The following is a 16,704-nucleotide window of genomic DNA, read 5'->3' as shown; positions in this document are numbered from 1 at the left end:
GAAAAACTAAGTCTGAAGTGTATTTCAGCAGTCTCATGATGCTGTGGAGCCAAAGACTGGAGTATAGGGTGCATATAGGACAAGGTACCCTGGTAAAAAACAACAACAACAATAACAACAACAACAACTCAGGCTTTCAATTGACACCATGGAAGAGTCACATGAACCAGAACAATGAAGGGCACCAAAAACAGAGATGCCTCAACTGAACCAAAGGGATATGTCTGTGAAAAGAATATTCAACACCCTGTGAAGAATGATTTCAGAGTCTCTAACATTTTCATTAAAAAATATCTAGCTCTCAATGAATAATTACGAAGCATTCAAAGCAAAGGGATCAAATGGCCAAATTAAAAAACAAACAAAAACCAGGGGAAAAGGCAAACAATAAAGTAGACAGATTCAAATGGCCATCAACAGATGGGTAGATAACTAAAATCTAGTATATGCATACAATGGAATATTATTCAGCCTAATAAAGGATGGAAAATCTGACACATGCTGCAACATGGATGAACCTTGAGGACATTATGCTGAGTGAAATAAGCCAGTCACAAAAAGACAAATACAGTCATGTGACACTTAACAAAGGGGATACATTCTGAGAAATGCATCACTAGGTGATTTCTCGGCTGTGTGATCACAGTGTACTTACACAAATCTAGAAGGTACTACCACACGCCTAGACTATAGGTAGAGCATATTGCTCCTGTGCTACAAGCAGGGACAGCATGTTACTGTACCGAATACTGTAGGCAACTGCAATATAGTGGAAAGTATTTGTGTATCTAAACAGAAAAAGTACAGTAAAAATACAGTATAAAAGATTAAAAGGGCCAGGCGCAGTGGCTCATGCCTGTAATCCCAGCACTTTGGGAGGCTGAGGCGGGCAGATCGCCTGAGGTCAGGAGTCCCAGACCAGCCTGGCCAACATGATGAAACCCTGTCTCTACTAAAAATACAAAATTAGCCAGGCATGGTGGCGCATGCCTGTAATCCCAGCTACTCAGAAGGTTGAGGCAGGAGAATCGCTTGAACTCAGGAGGCAGAGGTTGCAGTGAGCCGAGATCACGCCATTGCACTCCAGCATGGGCAACAAGAGTGAAACTCTGTCTCAAAATAACATAACATAACATAACATAACATAACATAACATAACATAACATAACATAACATAACATAACATAAAATAAAATAAAATAAAATAAAATAAAAGTGGTGGCTGGGTGTGGTGGCTTTGGGAGGCTGAGGTGGGCAGATCCCTTGAGTCCAGGAGTTCAAGACCAGCCTGGGCAACATGGTGAAACCCCATCTCTACAAAAAATACTTAAATTAGCCAGGCATGGTGGCACATGCCTGTAGTCCCAGCTACTCGGGAGACTGCAGCAGGAGGATCATTTCAGCCTGGAATGTGGAGGCTGAAGTAAGCCGAGATCTCACCACTGCACTCCAGCCCAGGCAACAGAAGACCTTGTCTCAAAAAAAAAGACAAAAAGATAAAAAATGGTACACCTATATAGGGCACTTAACCATGAATGGAGGTTGCAGGATTGCAAGTTGCTCTGGGTGAGTTACTGAATGAGTGGTCAATAAACGTGAAGGTCTAGGACATTATTGTACACTACTATAGACTTTATAATGGTTAAGATGGCCAATAAACTCTGTGCACTTAGGCTAGACTAAATTTATTAAAACATACTTTTGTCTCTTTAGTAATAAACTTAGCTTACTGTGACTTTTTCACTTTATAAATTTTTTTAGTTTTTAAAAACTTTTTGACTCTTTTGTAATAACATTTAGCTCAAAACACAAACATATTGTACAGCAGTACAAAAATATTTTTCCTTACATCTTTATAAGTTGTTTCCTATTTAAAAAATATATATTATATATATTATTTAAACATCTTTGTTGAAAACCAACACATGAACACACACATTACATTAGCCTAGGCCCACAGAGAGCAAGGATCATCAATATCACTGTCTTCTACCTTCATAGCTTATGGCACTGGAAGGTCTTTGGGAGCAATTAACATCTATGGACCTGTCATCTCCTATGACATCAATGCCTTTTTCTGGAATACCTCCTGAAGGACCTGCCTAACGCTGTTTTACAGTTAATTTTTTTTAATAAGTAGAAGTAGCCCACTCTAAAATAACAATAAAAAATACTGTACAGTAAGTACATAAACCAGTAACATAGTTGTTTATTATCAAGTATTATGTACTGTACATAATAGTATGTACTACACTTTTTTATGACTAGCAGTGCAGCAGGTTCATTTACACCAGTATCAACACAAACACCTGAATAATGCCTTGCATTATATGACGTTACATTGGCTACAATGTCACTAGGTGATAGGAATTTTTCAGCTCCATTATAATCTCAAGGGACCACCATCGTGTACACAGTCCATCACTGACTGAAATGTCATTATACAGTGCATGCCTGTACTGTATAAATCCACTTATATGAGTTACCTAGAGTAGTCAAATTCAGAAAGTAGGATGGTGGTTGCCAGGAGCTGAGAGGTGATGGGTAATGGGGAGTTGTTATTTAATGAGTATAGAATTTCAGTTTTGCAAGAGGAAAAAGTTCTGAAGACTGGTTGCACAATGATGTGAATGTGCTAAAACTACTGAATTGTACACTTAAAAATGGTTAAGATGGTCAATTTTATGGTATGTACATATTAACACAGTTAAAAACAACAGCCCCCAATGTGATAAGTAATCACAGACTTTAAAATAACCATATTTAAGATATTCAACAAAACAGATTAAAAAGTTACACCAGAAAATTGGAATCTAAAATTTAAAATATATAACATGAAAATCCTGTATATAAAAAAACACGAAAGTTGAAATTAAGAATTCATTAGATTGGTTTAAGAGAAGATTAGAAACAAAGCAAGGTCACAATCTAACATTTTATCCTTTGTACTTTCAATTTTGTGAAATATCTCAAGGTCTTTTAATATAAAGTTTTTTTTTCCTTTAATGTAAAGATTTCCTCTGGGACATCTTCATCTTTTGCATCAAAACCACTTCCCTCAGGCTGGGTGCAGTGGCTCACACCTGTAATCCCAGTACTTTGGGAGGCCAAGGCGGGTGGATCACCTGAGGCCAGGTGTTTGAGACCAGCCTGGCCAAGATGGTGAAACCCCATCTCTACTAAAAATACAAAAATTAGCCAGGCGTGGTGGCAGGTGCCTGTAGTCCCAGCTACTCGGGAGGCTGAGCCAGGAGAATGGTGTAAACCCTGGAGGCGGAGCCTGCAGTGAGCCGAGATTGCACCACTGCACTCCAGCCTGGGCAACAGAGCGAGACTCTGTCAAAAAAACAAAACAAAACAAAAATTAGCCAGGCGTGGTGGTGGGCACCTATAATCCCAGCTACTCAGGAGGCTGAGGCAGGAGAATTGCCTGAACACAGGAGGCAGAGGTTGCAGTGAGAGGCAGAGGTTGCAGTGAGCCGAGATTGCACCACTGCACTCTAGCCTGGGCGACAGAGCAAGACTCCATCTCAAAAACAAACCCAAAACAAACAAACAAAAAAACCACTTCCCTCATTTATGTTAATAAGTTCACCTTCAATAAGTTCCTCTGGCTGCATATCTAGAGTCTATCAAATGGTGACAGTGTCAATTTTCCTATGGTCAACTATTTCTTCTATAACTTCATTTACATTTCTCTCAAATTTCAATGAAAGGGTTATCATTTTTTGTTACTTTGTTTCATATCTGTTGGCCAATTTCCACTTTTGATTATCTATTTCTATAAAATATCATGTGGGCTTAACATTGGGAAAGACAATACAACTAGACACTTTATTGTCTGTATATAAACTTAATCGCCAACAGACCTTGAAGTAAATAGACTAGTGTGTATCTGTTTTTCACATAGTCATGTGTGGACTGGAGTACTAGCAATGAAGTTTGTACTTTACATAGTTACTCATAGTTAATATACTATGGTAACTGAAATTGGAACCATGGTATTGGGTGACTAGTGTCACTTAACTAAATTGTGCTAACTGAAATTTATGCACATTAGAAATATGTAATATGAGGACTTCTAGTACATTAAGTTTAAATAAAATTAAACTCTAAAGTAAAAACAAGCACTAGACTTTAGATTCTACCATAAGGCAATAATTGGTATCAAACTTATCTTCCTACCATCAAGAAACTGAACAAAATATGTGAAACATATATTTCAAGACACTGAACAACAAACAATGCCAGAATGTAATCCCTGAATGACGGGAAACAAATAAGGTGACCCTTAAAATTATCCTAGTCTTCTACCCGAAGGTACTGTCCAGGCTGCTGCACAAGAAAGGGGAACTCAAACAGAGTACAATGGGACCACTTACTTGAGGAAACAAAATACATGAAGGCTAAAAAGAATTAGTGAGGCAGAATACTGAAGAATGAATTATGTAGAAAAAGGTTCCAAATACCTGAATAGGACACCCCTGACTCAGTTCCTGAATACTAAGTCCTGTATACATACAGTGAAATTCCACAACACTAGGCAAAAAACTACAACAGAACTATAAGCTCAGCAACTAGAAACTACACAGACCTGGGGCACATTTCTGTTCTGACTGGTCAGATTTCAGAAGCCTAATGAATACTTATGACATTCACTAGGAGCCTTAGAAAGCTCACATCTCAGTTGCTGGGATGAACTACACTAGAATAAAAGCTACACTAAAACTATCAGAATAAAGCTTAAAATCAGCCACAAGAGCATCAAGTTGATCTGCAAAAAACTTAAGAGCACCAAAATAAACTCAACATCCTTTTAAAAAGATTTTTAAAATACAAATATTCAAAAATGTAATATCACAATGTCTACAACTAAATCTAAAATTACAAGACAAGAGGCACAAAATATGATTCATAACTAGGAGGACTATCAGTCAATGGAAGCAGACCCAGAAAAAAACTGACAATGAAATTAGCAGACCTAAAAATTAAAACAGCTATAATAACATGAACATAGTGATGTAGGGTATAAAAAAAGAATGAAATAAAAAGTTCCAGAATGAAAAATACAATGTTTGAAATGATAATTTCATGAAATAGGACTAGCAGCACATTTAAACTCTGTAGAAGATCAGTGAACCCGAGGAAGCAAAAATAAAGCACTAAGAGAAAAAAGACTAAGGAAACAAACTGAACAAAGCTTCAGTGACCTATAGGAAATTGTAAGTGGTCTAACACATGCATATCTGGTGTCTCAAAAGAAAATTAGAGAACAGGGATGGGCAGAAGCAGAAAATATATTTGGAAAATGCATATTTCCAAATATATCTGAAGAATGATAATAGACCAACCCATACAAAACTATAAAAAGTGCCAGAAATGGCCAGGTGCAGTGGCTCATGCCTGTAATCCCAGCACTTTGGGAGGCCGAGGCAGGTAGATTTCTTGAGGTCAGGAGTTCGAGACCAGCCTGGCCAACATGGTGAAATCCCATCTCTACTGAAAAAACAAAATAGCCAGGCGTAGGGGCCTGCACCTGTAATGCCAGCTACTCAGGAGGCTGAAGCAGGAGAACTGCTTGAACCCAGGAGGCAGAGGTTGCAGTGAGCTGAGATTGCCCCAGTGCACTTTAGCCTGGGCGACAGAGTGACACTGTCTCAAAAAAAAAAAAAAAAAAAGTGCCAGAAATACAAATGTCAATATTTTTAAAATTGTTTCATTTAAAATTTTTTTAAAAAGTAAGCAATTTAAGCAAAAATAATAAGTTACAGTGTTCATAATATACATGAAAACAAAACGTATGACAATAATAACACAAAGGATAGGAATGTAGAAAACTGAAAATACAGTATATGTGAAGTGAAATATTTCCAGGCTGTGTTAAGTTAAAGATGCATATTGTTTTGTAAATCATATCTCTAAGAACAGTTGACTATCCAGAATATACTTTTACAACTCAAAAAAATAAAAAAAGACAACTCAATTAAAAAATGGGCAAAATAACTGAAAAGATATTACTCTCAACAGCACATTAAAAGGGTACTCTTCCTTTTTTTTGTCCAAGACAGAGTCTTGCTCTGTCACCCAGGTTGGAGTGCAGTGGCATGATCTCGGCTCACTGCAATCTCCGACTCCCAGATTCAAGCAATTCTCCTGCCTCAGCCTCCAAGCAGCTGGGATTACAGGCACGCATCATCGTGCCTGGCTAATATTTGTATTTTTAGTAGAGACGGGGTTTCACCATGTTGGCCAGGCTGGTCTCCAACTCCTGACCTCATGATCCGCCCACCTTGGCCTCCAAAAGTGCTGGAATTACAGGTGTGAGCCACCCTGCGCAGCCAGGGTACTCTTCTTGACATCAGCGGTCATTGGGAAAATGAAAATCAAAACCACGATAATGTACCCTTCACACCCACTAGTATGGTAAGTTTAAAAAAAGAACTAAAGAAAGCTAAAAAGCAGCCATCCAGATATATTAGGAGAGAAGCATACCAGGAAATCCAGATGTACTAGAAGAAGCTTTATCAGTAAACTCCTGTCCAGTCTCAAAAGCTTTTGACGTTACAATTAAAACAAGAAAACCCACAACAGAAAATAACAAGTGCTGACAAGGATGTGGAGAAACTGGAACCTTCATACATTGCTGGTGGGAATATAAAATAGTTCAGTAACCACGGGAAACAATTTGGCAGTGTCTCAAAAAATAAAACACAGAACTACCATAGCAATTTTGGTATATACCTACTTCTAGGTATATATCCAAAGAATTAAAAACAGGTAAACAAATACATGTATACACATGTTCATAGTAGCATTATTCAAAATTGGCAAAAGGTTGAAAACAGCCCAAAAATACTTATCAACGAATAAACAGATAAACAAATTCTGGTAACTCACGCACTGCACAATGACATTTTTAGTCAACAATGAACTGCATATACCATGGTGGTCCCACAGATGATAATACCAACATTTTAACTACATCTTTTCTATGTCTAAGTATGTTTAGATACACAAATACTCCCTATTGTGTAACAACTGCCTACAATATTCAGTACAGTAACATGCTGTCCAGGTAGCCTGGGAGCAACAAGCTATAACATATAGCCCAGGTATATAGTAGGCTATACTACCTAGGTTTGTGTAAGTACACTAGATGACGTTCACACAATGTTGAACTCACCTAATGGCACATTTCTCAGAATGTATCCCCATCAAGTGACACATGACTGTATGTACATACAATGGAATATTATTCAGCCATAAAAATAAACTACTAATAAATGCTATAACATGACTAAACCTCAAAAATATGGTAAGTGAAAGAAGTCATACACAAAAAGTCACATATTGTATGCTTCCATTTATATGAAATGTCCAGAATAGATAAATTCATATGGGCAGAATGCAGATTGGTGATTGCCAAGGGCTGAAGGAAGGGAATAGAAAGAAACTGCTTACTGGATAAAAGCTTTTACTTGGAATGATGTAAATGTCTTTCAACTACATAGAGGTAGTAGTTGCTAAACTACACAGAATTGTTCACTTTAAAATGGTTAATTTTATATTATGTGAACTTTACCTCAATGTTTTGTGTGGCTTTTTTTGTTTTTTGTTTTTGTTTTGAGATGGAGTTTTGCTCTTGTCGCCCAGGCTGGAGTGCAGTGGCACAATCTTGGTTCACTGCAACCTCCGTCTCCCCGGTTCAAGCGATTGCCCTGCCTCAGCCTCCCAAATAGCTGGGCTTTCATGCGCCCACCACCACGCCCAGCTAATTTTTTTGTATTTTTAGTAGAGTCAGGGTTTCACCGTGTTGGCTAGGCTGGTCTTGAACTCCTGACCTCAGATGATCCACCTGCCTCAGCCTCCCAAATGCTGGGATTACAGGGGTGGGCCACTGTGCCCGGCCAACCTCAATATTTTACCATGCAAATTGTCACCTCTAAAGCAATCATTAAAACAAAACAAAGGTACCTAGTAAGCCAATAGAAGGCATAAAATGGAATACTTAAATAGTAACAAAAAATAAATCCAAAAGAAAGCAGGAAAATTTTTTTAAAGGCAAAAAGGGCCAGGCCCAGTGACTCATAACTGTAATTCTAACACTTTGGGAGGCCCAGGTGGCAGATCGCTTGCGTCCATGAGTTGGAGACCAGCCTGGGCAACATGGCAAAACTCTGTCTCTGTAAAAAATACAAAAATTAGCCAGGCATAGTGGTGCATGCCTATAGTCCCAGCTACTCAGGAGGCTGAGATGAGAGGATCACTTGAGGCTGGGAGGGCAAGGCTGCAGTGAACAGAGATCACTCCACTGCATTTCAGCCTGGGTGACAGAGTGAGACCCTGTCTCAGAAAAAGAAAATAAATTTAAAAAAAAAGAAGAAAAAGAACAGATGGGAAAAAACAAATAAATAGCAAAATGATCAATTTAAATTTAACCATACTGATCACTACACTAAATGTATGGTCTAAACATACTCTCCAATACAATAACCACTAGTCACATACGGCTACTGAGCACTTGAATGGTGGCTAGTCCAAATTGAAATATGTTACAACTTTAAAATACCCATTGATTTTTAAAAACTTAATACAAAAAAGTGAAATATCTAATTCATAATTCTATATTAATTATATTTTGAAATAATGTTTAGGCCAGGCGCAGTGGCTCACGCCTGTAATCCCAGCACTTTGGGAGGCCGAGGTGGGCAGATCATGAGGTCAAGAGATCGAGGCCATCCTGGCCAACATGGTAAAACCCTGTCTCTACTAAAAATACAAAAAATTAGCTGGGCATGGTGGTACGCACCTGTAGTCCCAGCTTCTTGGGAGGCTGAGGCAGGAAAATTGCTTGAACCTGGGAGGTGGAGGTTGCAATGAGCCGAGATTGCGCCACTGCACTCCAGCCTGGCGACAGAACGAGACTGTCTCACAAAAAAAAAAAAAGAAAAAGAAAAAAATTAATGTTTAAACTACACTGTGTTAGGCTGGGCACAGTGGCTCAGGCCTGTCATCTTGCACTTTGGGAGGCCAAGGTGGGCGGATTGCCTGAGCTCGGGAGTTCAAGACCAGCTTGGGCAACATGGCAAAACCCCATCTCTACTAAAAATACAGAAATTAGCTGGGTGTAGTGGCGCATACCTGTAGTCCACGAGAATCACTTGAAGCCAGAGGCGGAGTTTGCAGTGAGCCAAGATCACGCCACTTCACTCCAGCCTGGGCAACAAAGCGAGACTGTTTCCAAAGAAATAAAAACAAAAATAAAAAATTACGGTGTGTTAAATAAAATACATTATGAAAATTTCAACTTTCTTTTCACTTTTTTGTAAGAGACATGGTCTCATTGTCAACCAGGATGGAGTGCAGTGGTATGATCACAGCTCCCTAGAACCTCAAACTCCTGAGCTCAAGAGATCCTCCTGCCTCAGCCTTCCAAGTAGATGGGACTACAGGTGTATACCACTACGCCTAATTTTTTTGGTACAGACAAGTTCTTGCTATATTACCCAGGCAGGTCTCATACTCCTGGCCTCAACTGATCCTCCCACCTCGGCCTCCTAAAACGCTGGGATTACAAGCATGAGCCACCTTGCCCAGCTTCATTTCACATTTTCAATGTGGCTACAAGAAAATTTAAAAGTATATACTTGGTTGGCATCTGTGGTAAATGTTTCTATTGGACAGTGCAAGTATAAACAAAGAAGGACAGATGATCAGGACAGATGATCAGGACAGATGATTAATTTAAAAACCGACACAATTATCTATTAATGTATACCAATAAATTAAAAGTAAAAAGCTTAAAGAAGCTGTATCATAAAAACAGTCATAAGAAAGCTGAGGCCGGGCACGGTGGCTCACGCCTGTAATCCCAGCACTTTGCGAGGCTGAGGTGGGTGGATCACCTGAGGTCAGGAGTTCAAGACCAGCCTGGCCAACATGGCAAAACCCTGTCTATATTAAAAACACAAAAATTAGCTAGCTGTGATGGCACGTGCCTGTAACTCCAGCTACTTGGGAGGCTGAGGCAGGAGAATCACTTGAACCCAGGAGGTGGAGGTGCAGTGAGCCAAGATCACACCACTGCACTCCAGCCTGGGTGAAAGAGTGAGACTCCGTCTCAAAAAAAAAAAAAAAAAAAAAAAAAAAAGAAACCTGAGATGGCTATGTTAACATGAAAGTTTACCTCGGAACAAAGAGTATAAGCAGTAGGCCGGGTGCAGTGGCTCACGCCTGTAATCCCAGCACTTTGGGAGGCTGAGGCGGGCGGATCACGAGGTCAGGAGATCAAGACCACGGTGAAACCCCGTCTCTACTAAAAATACAAAATGTTAGCCGGGCGTAGTGGCGGGCGCCTGTAGTCCCAGCTACTCGGGAGGCTGAGGCAGGAGAATGGCATGAACCCGGGAGGCGGAGCTTGCAGTGAGCTGAGATAGCGCCACTGCACTCCAGCCTGGGAGACAGAGCGAGACTCCATCTCAAAAAAAAAAAAAAGTATAAGCAGTAATAAAGAGGACTATTTCATAATTATAAAAAGGTTAATTCATCGAGAATAATCCTAAAAGTATATGTACCACTACTAACAATTTCAAAATAAGCAAAAAACTCAGAACTAAAGGGAAAATACACAAATCTACATAGTTTGAGAGCCTAACATAACTCTCTCAGCTATTGATAGAATAAGCAACAAAGAAGTGACAAGCACAGTAATAATAAACTTGATGTAATGATTTATCTAGAACACTTCACCCAACAACTGCAGTATACACACACATTCTTTTCAAGCACACTTGCTACACTTTACCAAAACAGACCTTAAGATGGGCCATGAAGGAAGTTCAAAGGACTGAACTTGCAGTGTATGTTGTTGACTAGCATAAATCAATATCAAAAGGATAATTAACTAGAAGGGGTTCTAGTTCCATGTAAGATGGAGTAAGTGCACTCCATCCTGTATTTCCCACTGAAGGCAACCACTAAGAAATGGACAGAACATATAGAACAACTATTTGAAGACTCAAAAAATTAAATACTAGCAGGTAATTGGAGAAGACTTTTACATAACACTGAACCAATAATGAATTTATCTTTTTATTATTCCTCCAGTATCCACCAGCCTGGACTGCTGCCTGAAACCCACAAGTGGGTATTGGTGTCAGTAAAGAGAGCTCCAGGAAAAGCCCTCTAGTTCTAGCTTAAGGAGTGCAGAAGGAGTATCGTAACACTCAGAGAGAATGGCAAAAATCTCCCATTTTTCTTTAAAGTTCTTGCTATTCTCTCAAAGCAATTCCATGAGGAAAGCCACAGCAGAAGCAGAGACCCAAAGAAGGCTAAAACTCTGAAGTAAGGAAACCTTCCTCTCTGATCAGAGGAGTTGTGATCCTAAAAGGGTGAGACAAAACCTCATTGCTTTTTTTTTTTCCTCTAGCCTCCCATTGCGTAGCCCCATATGCAGTAACAGATGCAGGATTAAATAAAGTCCTAGCTTTCTGGCTGGAGGACTGAAAAAGGCGGCCCCAGGGAACCAGATAGTACTGGGGAGATTGTACAGAGGGAGGAACTCAAGAAAATGGCCCCATAAAGTGGTTAATGAACTCCTATGTTCACCCCCAAGCTGCACATGGGTGGATATAACCCAAAACAGTAAGGCATAGACTTTTTTTTTTTTTTTTTTTTTAAGATGGATTCTAGCTCTGTTACCCAGGCTGGAGTGCAGTGGCACCATCTAGGCTCACTGCAAGCTCTGTCTCCTGGGTTCATCCCATTCTCCTGCCTCAGCCTCCTGAGTAGCTGGGACTACAGGCACCCGCCACCACGCCCGGCTAATTTTTTGTATTTTTAGTAGAGATGGAGTTTCACCATATTAGCCAGGATGGTCTCGATCTCCTGACCTCGTGATCCGCCCACCTCGGCCTCCCAAAGTGCTGGGATTACAGGCGTGAGCCACTGCACTCGGCCAGGCATAGACTTTGAGAACTGAACTACAAGATGGACTATCATCCAGATTCCACAATGGCCATCAAGTGGCACACGCATGGAATATATCTCAATAGAACTGCAAAGGCTTTCAAAATGTAACAGACATTGAAACCACAATCCTACAGAAATCTCAACTTGTAGACTGAAGCCAACTGGGTTGAATGCCTGACAAAAATATCAACATTTTCAATACAATTTAAACAAAACTGAGTTGCATAATATTAAAAAAGCCAAGGATATAACGCAAAAATTACTTGGTATACTAAAAAGGGGAAAACTTCAACTGGTATCAACAGATGCCAATACCAAGATGGCACAGACGGTGAAATTAACTTTAAAGGCAAAGACTGTAATATAGCTAGGATTGGCTGGGCGCGGTGGCTCACACCTGTAATCCCAGCACTTTGGGAGGCCGAGGAGGGCGGATCATAAGGTCAGGAGATTGAGACCCTCCTGGCTAACACGGTGAAACCCCGTCTCTACCAAAAATACAAAAAATTAGTCAGGCATGATGGCGGGCACCTGTAGTCCCAGCTACTCGAGAGGCTGAGGCAGGAGAATGGCGTGAACCCGGTAGGCGGAGCTTGCAGTGAGCTGAGATGCGCCACTGCACTCCAGCCTGGGTGACAGAGCGAGACTCTGTCTCAAAAAAAAAAAAAAAAAAATATATATATATATATATATATATATATACACACACACACATACACATAGATAGGATTAAAATGTTCCAATAACTAAAAACACTCTTGAAAGAAAGAGAGTACCAGCAAAGAAACAACAGATATAAAGAACTAAATGGGCCAGGTGCAGTAGCTCACACCTATAATCCCAGCACTTTGGGAAGCCAAGGCAGGAGGATTGCTTCAGCCCAGGAGTTCCAGACAAGCCTGAAAAACAGGGTAAGACCCTGTCTCTACAGAAAATTTCTTACAAAATTAGCCAAGCCTGGTGGCACATTCCTGTAGTCCCAGCTACTTGAGGGGCTGAGGTGGGAAGATCTCTTGAGCCTGAGAGGTCGAGGCTGCAGTGAGCCATGATCATGCTACTGCACTCTGGTTTGGGCAACAGAGCTAGACCTGTCTCAAAGTGGGGAAGTAAAAAAAGGGGGTCAGGGGAAGAACTAAATGGGAATGAGAAAACTGAAAATAAAATTTTTAAACTCACTGGATGGTCTCAACAGCAGAATGGAGATTACAGACCAATATCCCTTATGGCCATATAGGCAAAAATCCTCAACAAAATAATGGCAAATAAAATCCAGCAACACAGAAAAAGGAATATACACCATGACTAAGTAGGATTTATCTTAGGAATGCAAGGGCGGCTGCCTTGTGTCCTAAAGGTATTCCAATGCCTGGTTCCAAGTCCTTATGGGGCCTTACTGGCCATCTTTTTCCCTTTAGTTCCATGAGCTATCTCTGTACCCTTAAAATACTCTCCCTTCTTGCTTAAAGGGGGAATGAAGCAATCTGTTACTTGAAATGGAAAGTACTTGATGAAAACAGAAATACAATTTTAAAATGTGTATCGTCCCCAGAGAAGACACCTCAGGAAGCTACATTTATTCCAACAATGCCATCAATGCTTAGAAATTTTAATTTAAGTCTTTAAAAATGAAACTGGATTGACTTTACAAAAGCTAAATGAGTCCCTGCTTTTAAAGAGGTTATAATCTAGTAGAGAAAAAGAGATTTAAAGGTTTAGCCACCACACATTAACATTTATAAACATTAGAAAACACCAGATAAAACTGAGATTCAAATGTAAAATATTACTAGTCTGATATCATTATTGTTAGACCATATAAACTCACACTATTGTTATAACCTCTGGATGCTTAGCCCACTGTTGTACACACAGCAGTGTTCAAGGAATCCCTGGTGAAATGAACTGCTGAATTATCATGACAACTGAGAAGGCATGACATATCAGGTTGTGGAACAGACTTGTCCTCAAACCAATTGTATGACTTTGAGAAGTTCACTTAATTTCTATACACTTCACCTTCTTTGCTGGTAAAATGGATAGAATAAGATATTTCTAACTACCTTACAGCAATAAAATTCCACAATTCTGTAATTTAAGTCCATCTATAATACTTCTAATATAGAATTTTTAAGATAGGAATTATTTTCTCCACGAAACTTGGACTAAAGGGATGAGAATCCCTTTAAACAAGAAAGCGAAGAGGGGGAGCAGCTCCTAATGTTTATTTACAATTGTTAAAATTTGGGTGCCTTCTAAAATAAATTATATTCATTATTTATTAAGTAGGCAATTAGTCAAATACAACACTGATAAACTAGAATTTTGAACAAACAAATGCTTTAAAATTCTAATAACTATGCATAAGCAGTAAATTATTCTTACTTGAATTTCTACTGCTTTGTAGAGCAGGGTTACTAAGTATATAATTACATAAGAGAGTCACCCAACTTCCAAAGGAGCCATTCCAGTGAATTGTGTAAATAATATGCTTTAAAAAAACATAACCTCCTCACATATGAATTTAGATTTATCAGATATGAAGTAGCTGTGTACCTGTGAGACTAGCATACAGCCTTAAAAAGGCCTTCCTAATTATGAATTTACCAGAGAGACTAGAATGACCCAAAGCAAATTAATATAGACTTTTTTTCATAACTTCCTATAAAAACATTTTCACTATTCTGCTTCAGTACAGAAAACAACAGATCTTAAAAGTCACTGGCTTGAGGTAAGAACTCCAGAGCATAAGACAATAACCAAATTTTTCTAACATCAACATTCTGTTTTTCTTTTTTCCTTCTTTTTTTGCCCTGCTAAGCACTCTAGAAAGAAACATTGTTTTTCTTTTTCTTTTTTTTTTTTTTTTTGAGATGAGGTCTCGCTCTGTCACCCAGGCTGGAGTGCAGTGGCATAATCATAGCTCACTGCAGCCTCAAACTCCTGGCCTCAAGAGATCCTCCCGACTCAGCCTCAGAAAGTGCCAGGATTACACGTGTGAGCCACTGCAAGCAGCCTCTTTTTCTTAATTCACTCAATATTTGTATTTTATGTTTCTTTCATTTGTATCAGCATAATAAATTCTAAATATTTAGTCTATGGCTGCTTTTACTATAAGATTGTTGAATCTGAAAGAGTAAGATAAAAACAATTGTTTTTAATCCCATAAAATATTCAACATCAGAAGACAGCAGGGCATCACAACACTGCTTTGATGCTACATGTTTTCTATACCAAAAAAGCCACTTTTAATACCCACCTAAAAGAAATCAATCAACCATCTTAGTAAGCAAATTTATACATACAGCCAGGTGGTATCTTTATTCTCCCCTTGACAGAACAAAAAGTTAAGGATGTTCACTTACACTCTTTGCCACACTGTTAAAAATCACCTTATGCTAAGTAAAGAATTTCTGTATTTTTGAATGCTCATTCACGTGATAAGAGTAAAACTGCAATTTACCTCTGATTAGGTTTTACAAACTCAATCACCTATACCTGTACTTAAATACCCTTTAAATCATGCCACAACAAAATTACTTGGCTATTCTGAAACTTCATTGTATTAAATTCAAGTCAAATCTCATTGCAATAAGTTCGAAGGGACTGTCCAAATTCTTTTATTGCCATAGAATTTATTGTATTAAATATTATTTGAAATAACTACACTACCAGCTGAGGCCTGGGAATCATGGGGTTACACAATTTCTGATGATGTGAAGCTGGCCTATACACAAATTTCAAATGATTGCAGTGTTCGGTGGGAAGATTCAGCTTTTGATATTTCTGAAAGATGGAGGATAGTGGGGACGGAAAAAAGGAGGGAAAGAAAGGCAGAGGAAAATGAAAAAAGAAAAAGCTTGGTTATAACAAGAAGAGCAAATAGAAGTTGAAGTAGTCTTCCATTTTGATGAAAGGCATTTGCAACACTCTTTTCTTCCCCTAGATGGATTTACATGTTTGTTCATAGCAGTTGCTATGACTCAACAGAGGCTGGTATCATGTTAATAATCTACATATTAAGGCCAGGCTGGCCGTCATAGGAAAGATCAGAGCTCTTGCCCCTCACTTCCCAGGCAAAAACAGCCAAATAAGCCAGAGTAAAATCCTTTGACAGGGAGAGGAGGCAAACCCTTCTCATTGATAGGGAGAGGAGGCAAATCCTTAGCATTAGACTTATGGATCATCTTCCTCTACAGATGTGTTTGCTCTAACAATGAGTTCAAAAGGGAGCTATCTGGAGCTTTCTTCTTAAGGAGAGGGAAACTCCACTCATGAAAGGATCCCGATACTCAGCAGTATTTCAATGACTGCAAACCAAGTTTCCCAGCCCTCTTGGGTACTCCTTAATTTAACTTTTGTGTAGAAGTAGAGAAAAGAAAATTACTTGCTCATTAAGAAAGAGAATAGATGCCTACATAAATAAATGCAACCATATTACATCTGATTTCCCGCACATCACAGATCAGCACAAAGAAGAAACTCATTTTCAGCAGTGTATTTACTTTGCTATTTGCAAATCACTGACTGATTGGCAGCTACAATATATGAAATAAATAACAATTTCAAAGACCAAGTGTCATGTTCCCTGGTAAGTAACAAAAATGAACATTATCTACCCTCCCCATCCAGTTTATGGAATTTAGCAGGAGAATAGGTTATTGGCTATTTGATTGCCTGATACATTGTGAGGCCTTCTTTTGTGATGGTATGGTTATTACTGAGGTTAGACAAGAA

At 39.1% G+C, this 16,704-nt stretch overlaps 1 protein-coding gene across 12 annotated transcripts in view; it reads right to left on the bottom strand.

Annotated features, from left to right (window-relative positions):
- The window catches only part of BTRC (beta-transducin repeat containing E3 ubiquitin protein ligase), a 203,266-nt gene that overhangs the window by 140,639 nt on the left and 45,923 nt on the right, over nucleotides 1–16,704 (bottom strand). For 2 of the 12 annotated variants that reach the window (XM_017016871.2, XM_047425983.1), the window contains exon 1: nucleotides 9,142–9,228. The exons of 8 other annotated variants lie outside the window; for them this stretch is intronic. The gene's annotated coding sequence lies outside the window, so the exon portion shown is untranslated. Of the gene's footprint in view, nucleotides 1–8,809; nucleotides 8,925–9,141; nucleotides 9,229–16,704 lie in introns of those variants that run through there. 2 more of the 12 variants (XM_017016873.3, XM_047425984.1) reach the window with 2 other exon arrangements.

The sequence above is a fragment of the Homo sapiens genome, chromosome 10 (genome assembly GCF_000001405.40).
Source record: "Homo sapiens chromosome 10, GRCh38.p14 Primary Assembly".
NCBI lineage: Eukaryota > Metazoa > Chordata > Mammalia > Primates > Hominidae > Homo > Homo sapiens.
Note: the sequence above shows the minus strand (reverse complement) of the source record. Positions and strands in the feature narration are given on the sequence as shown.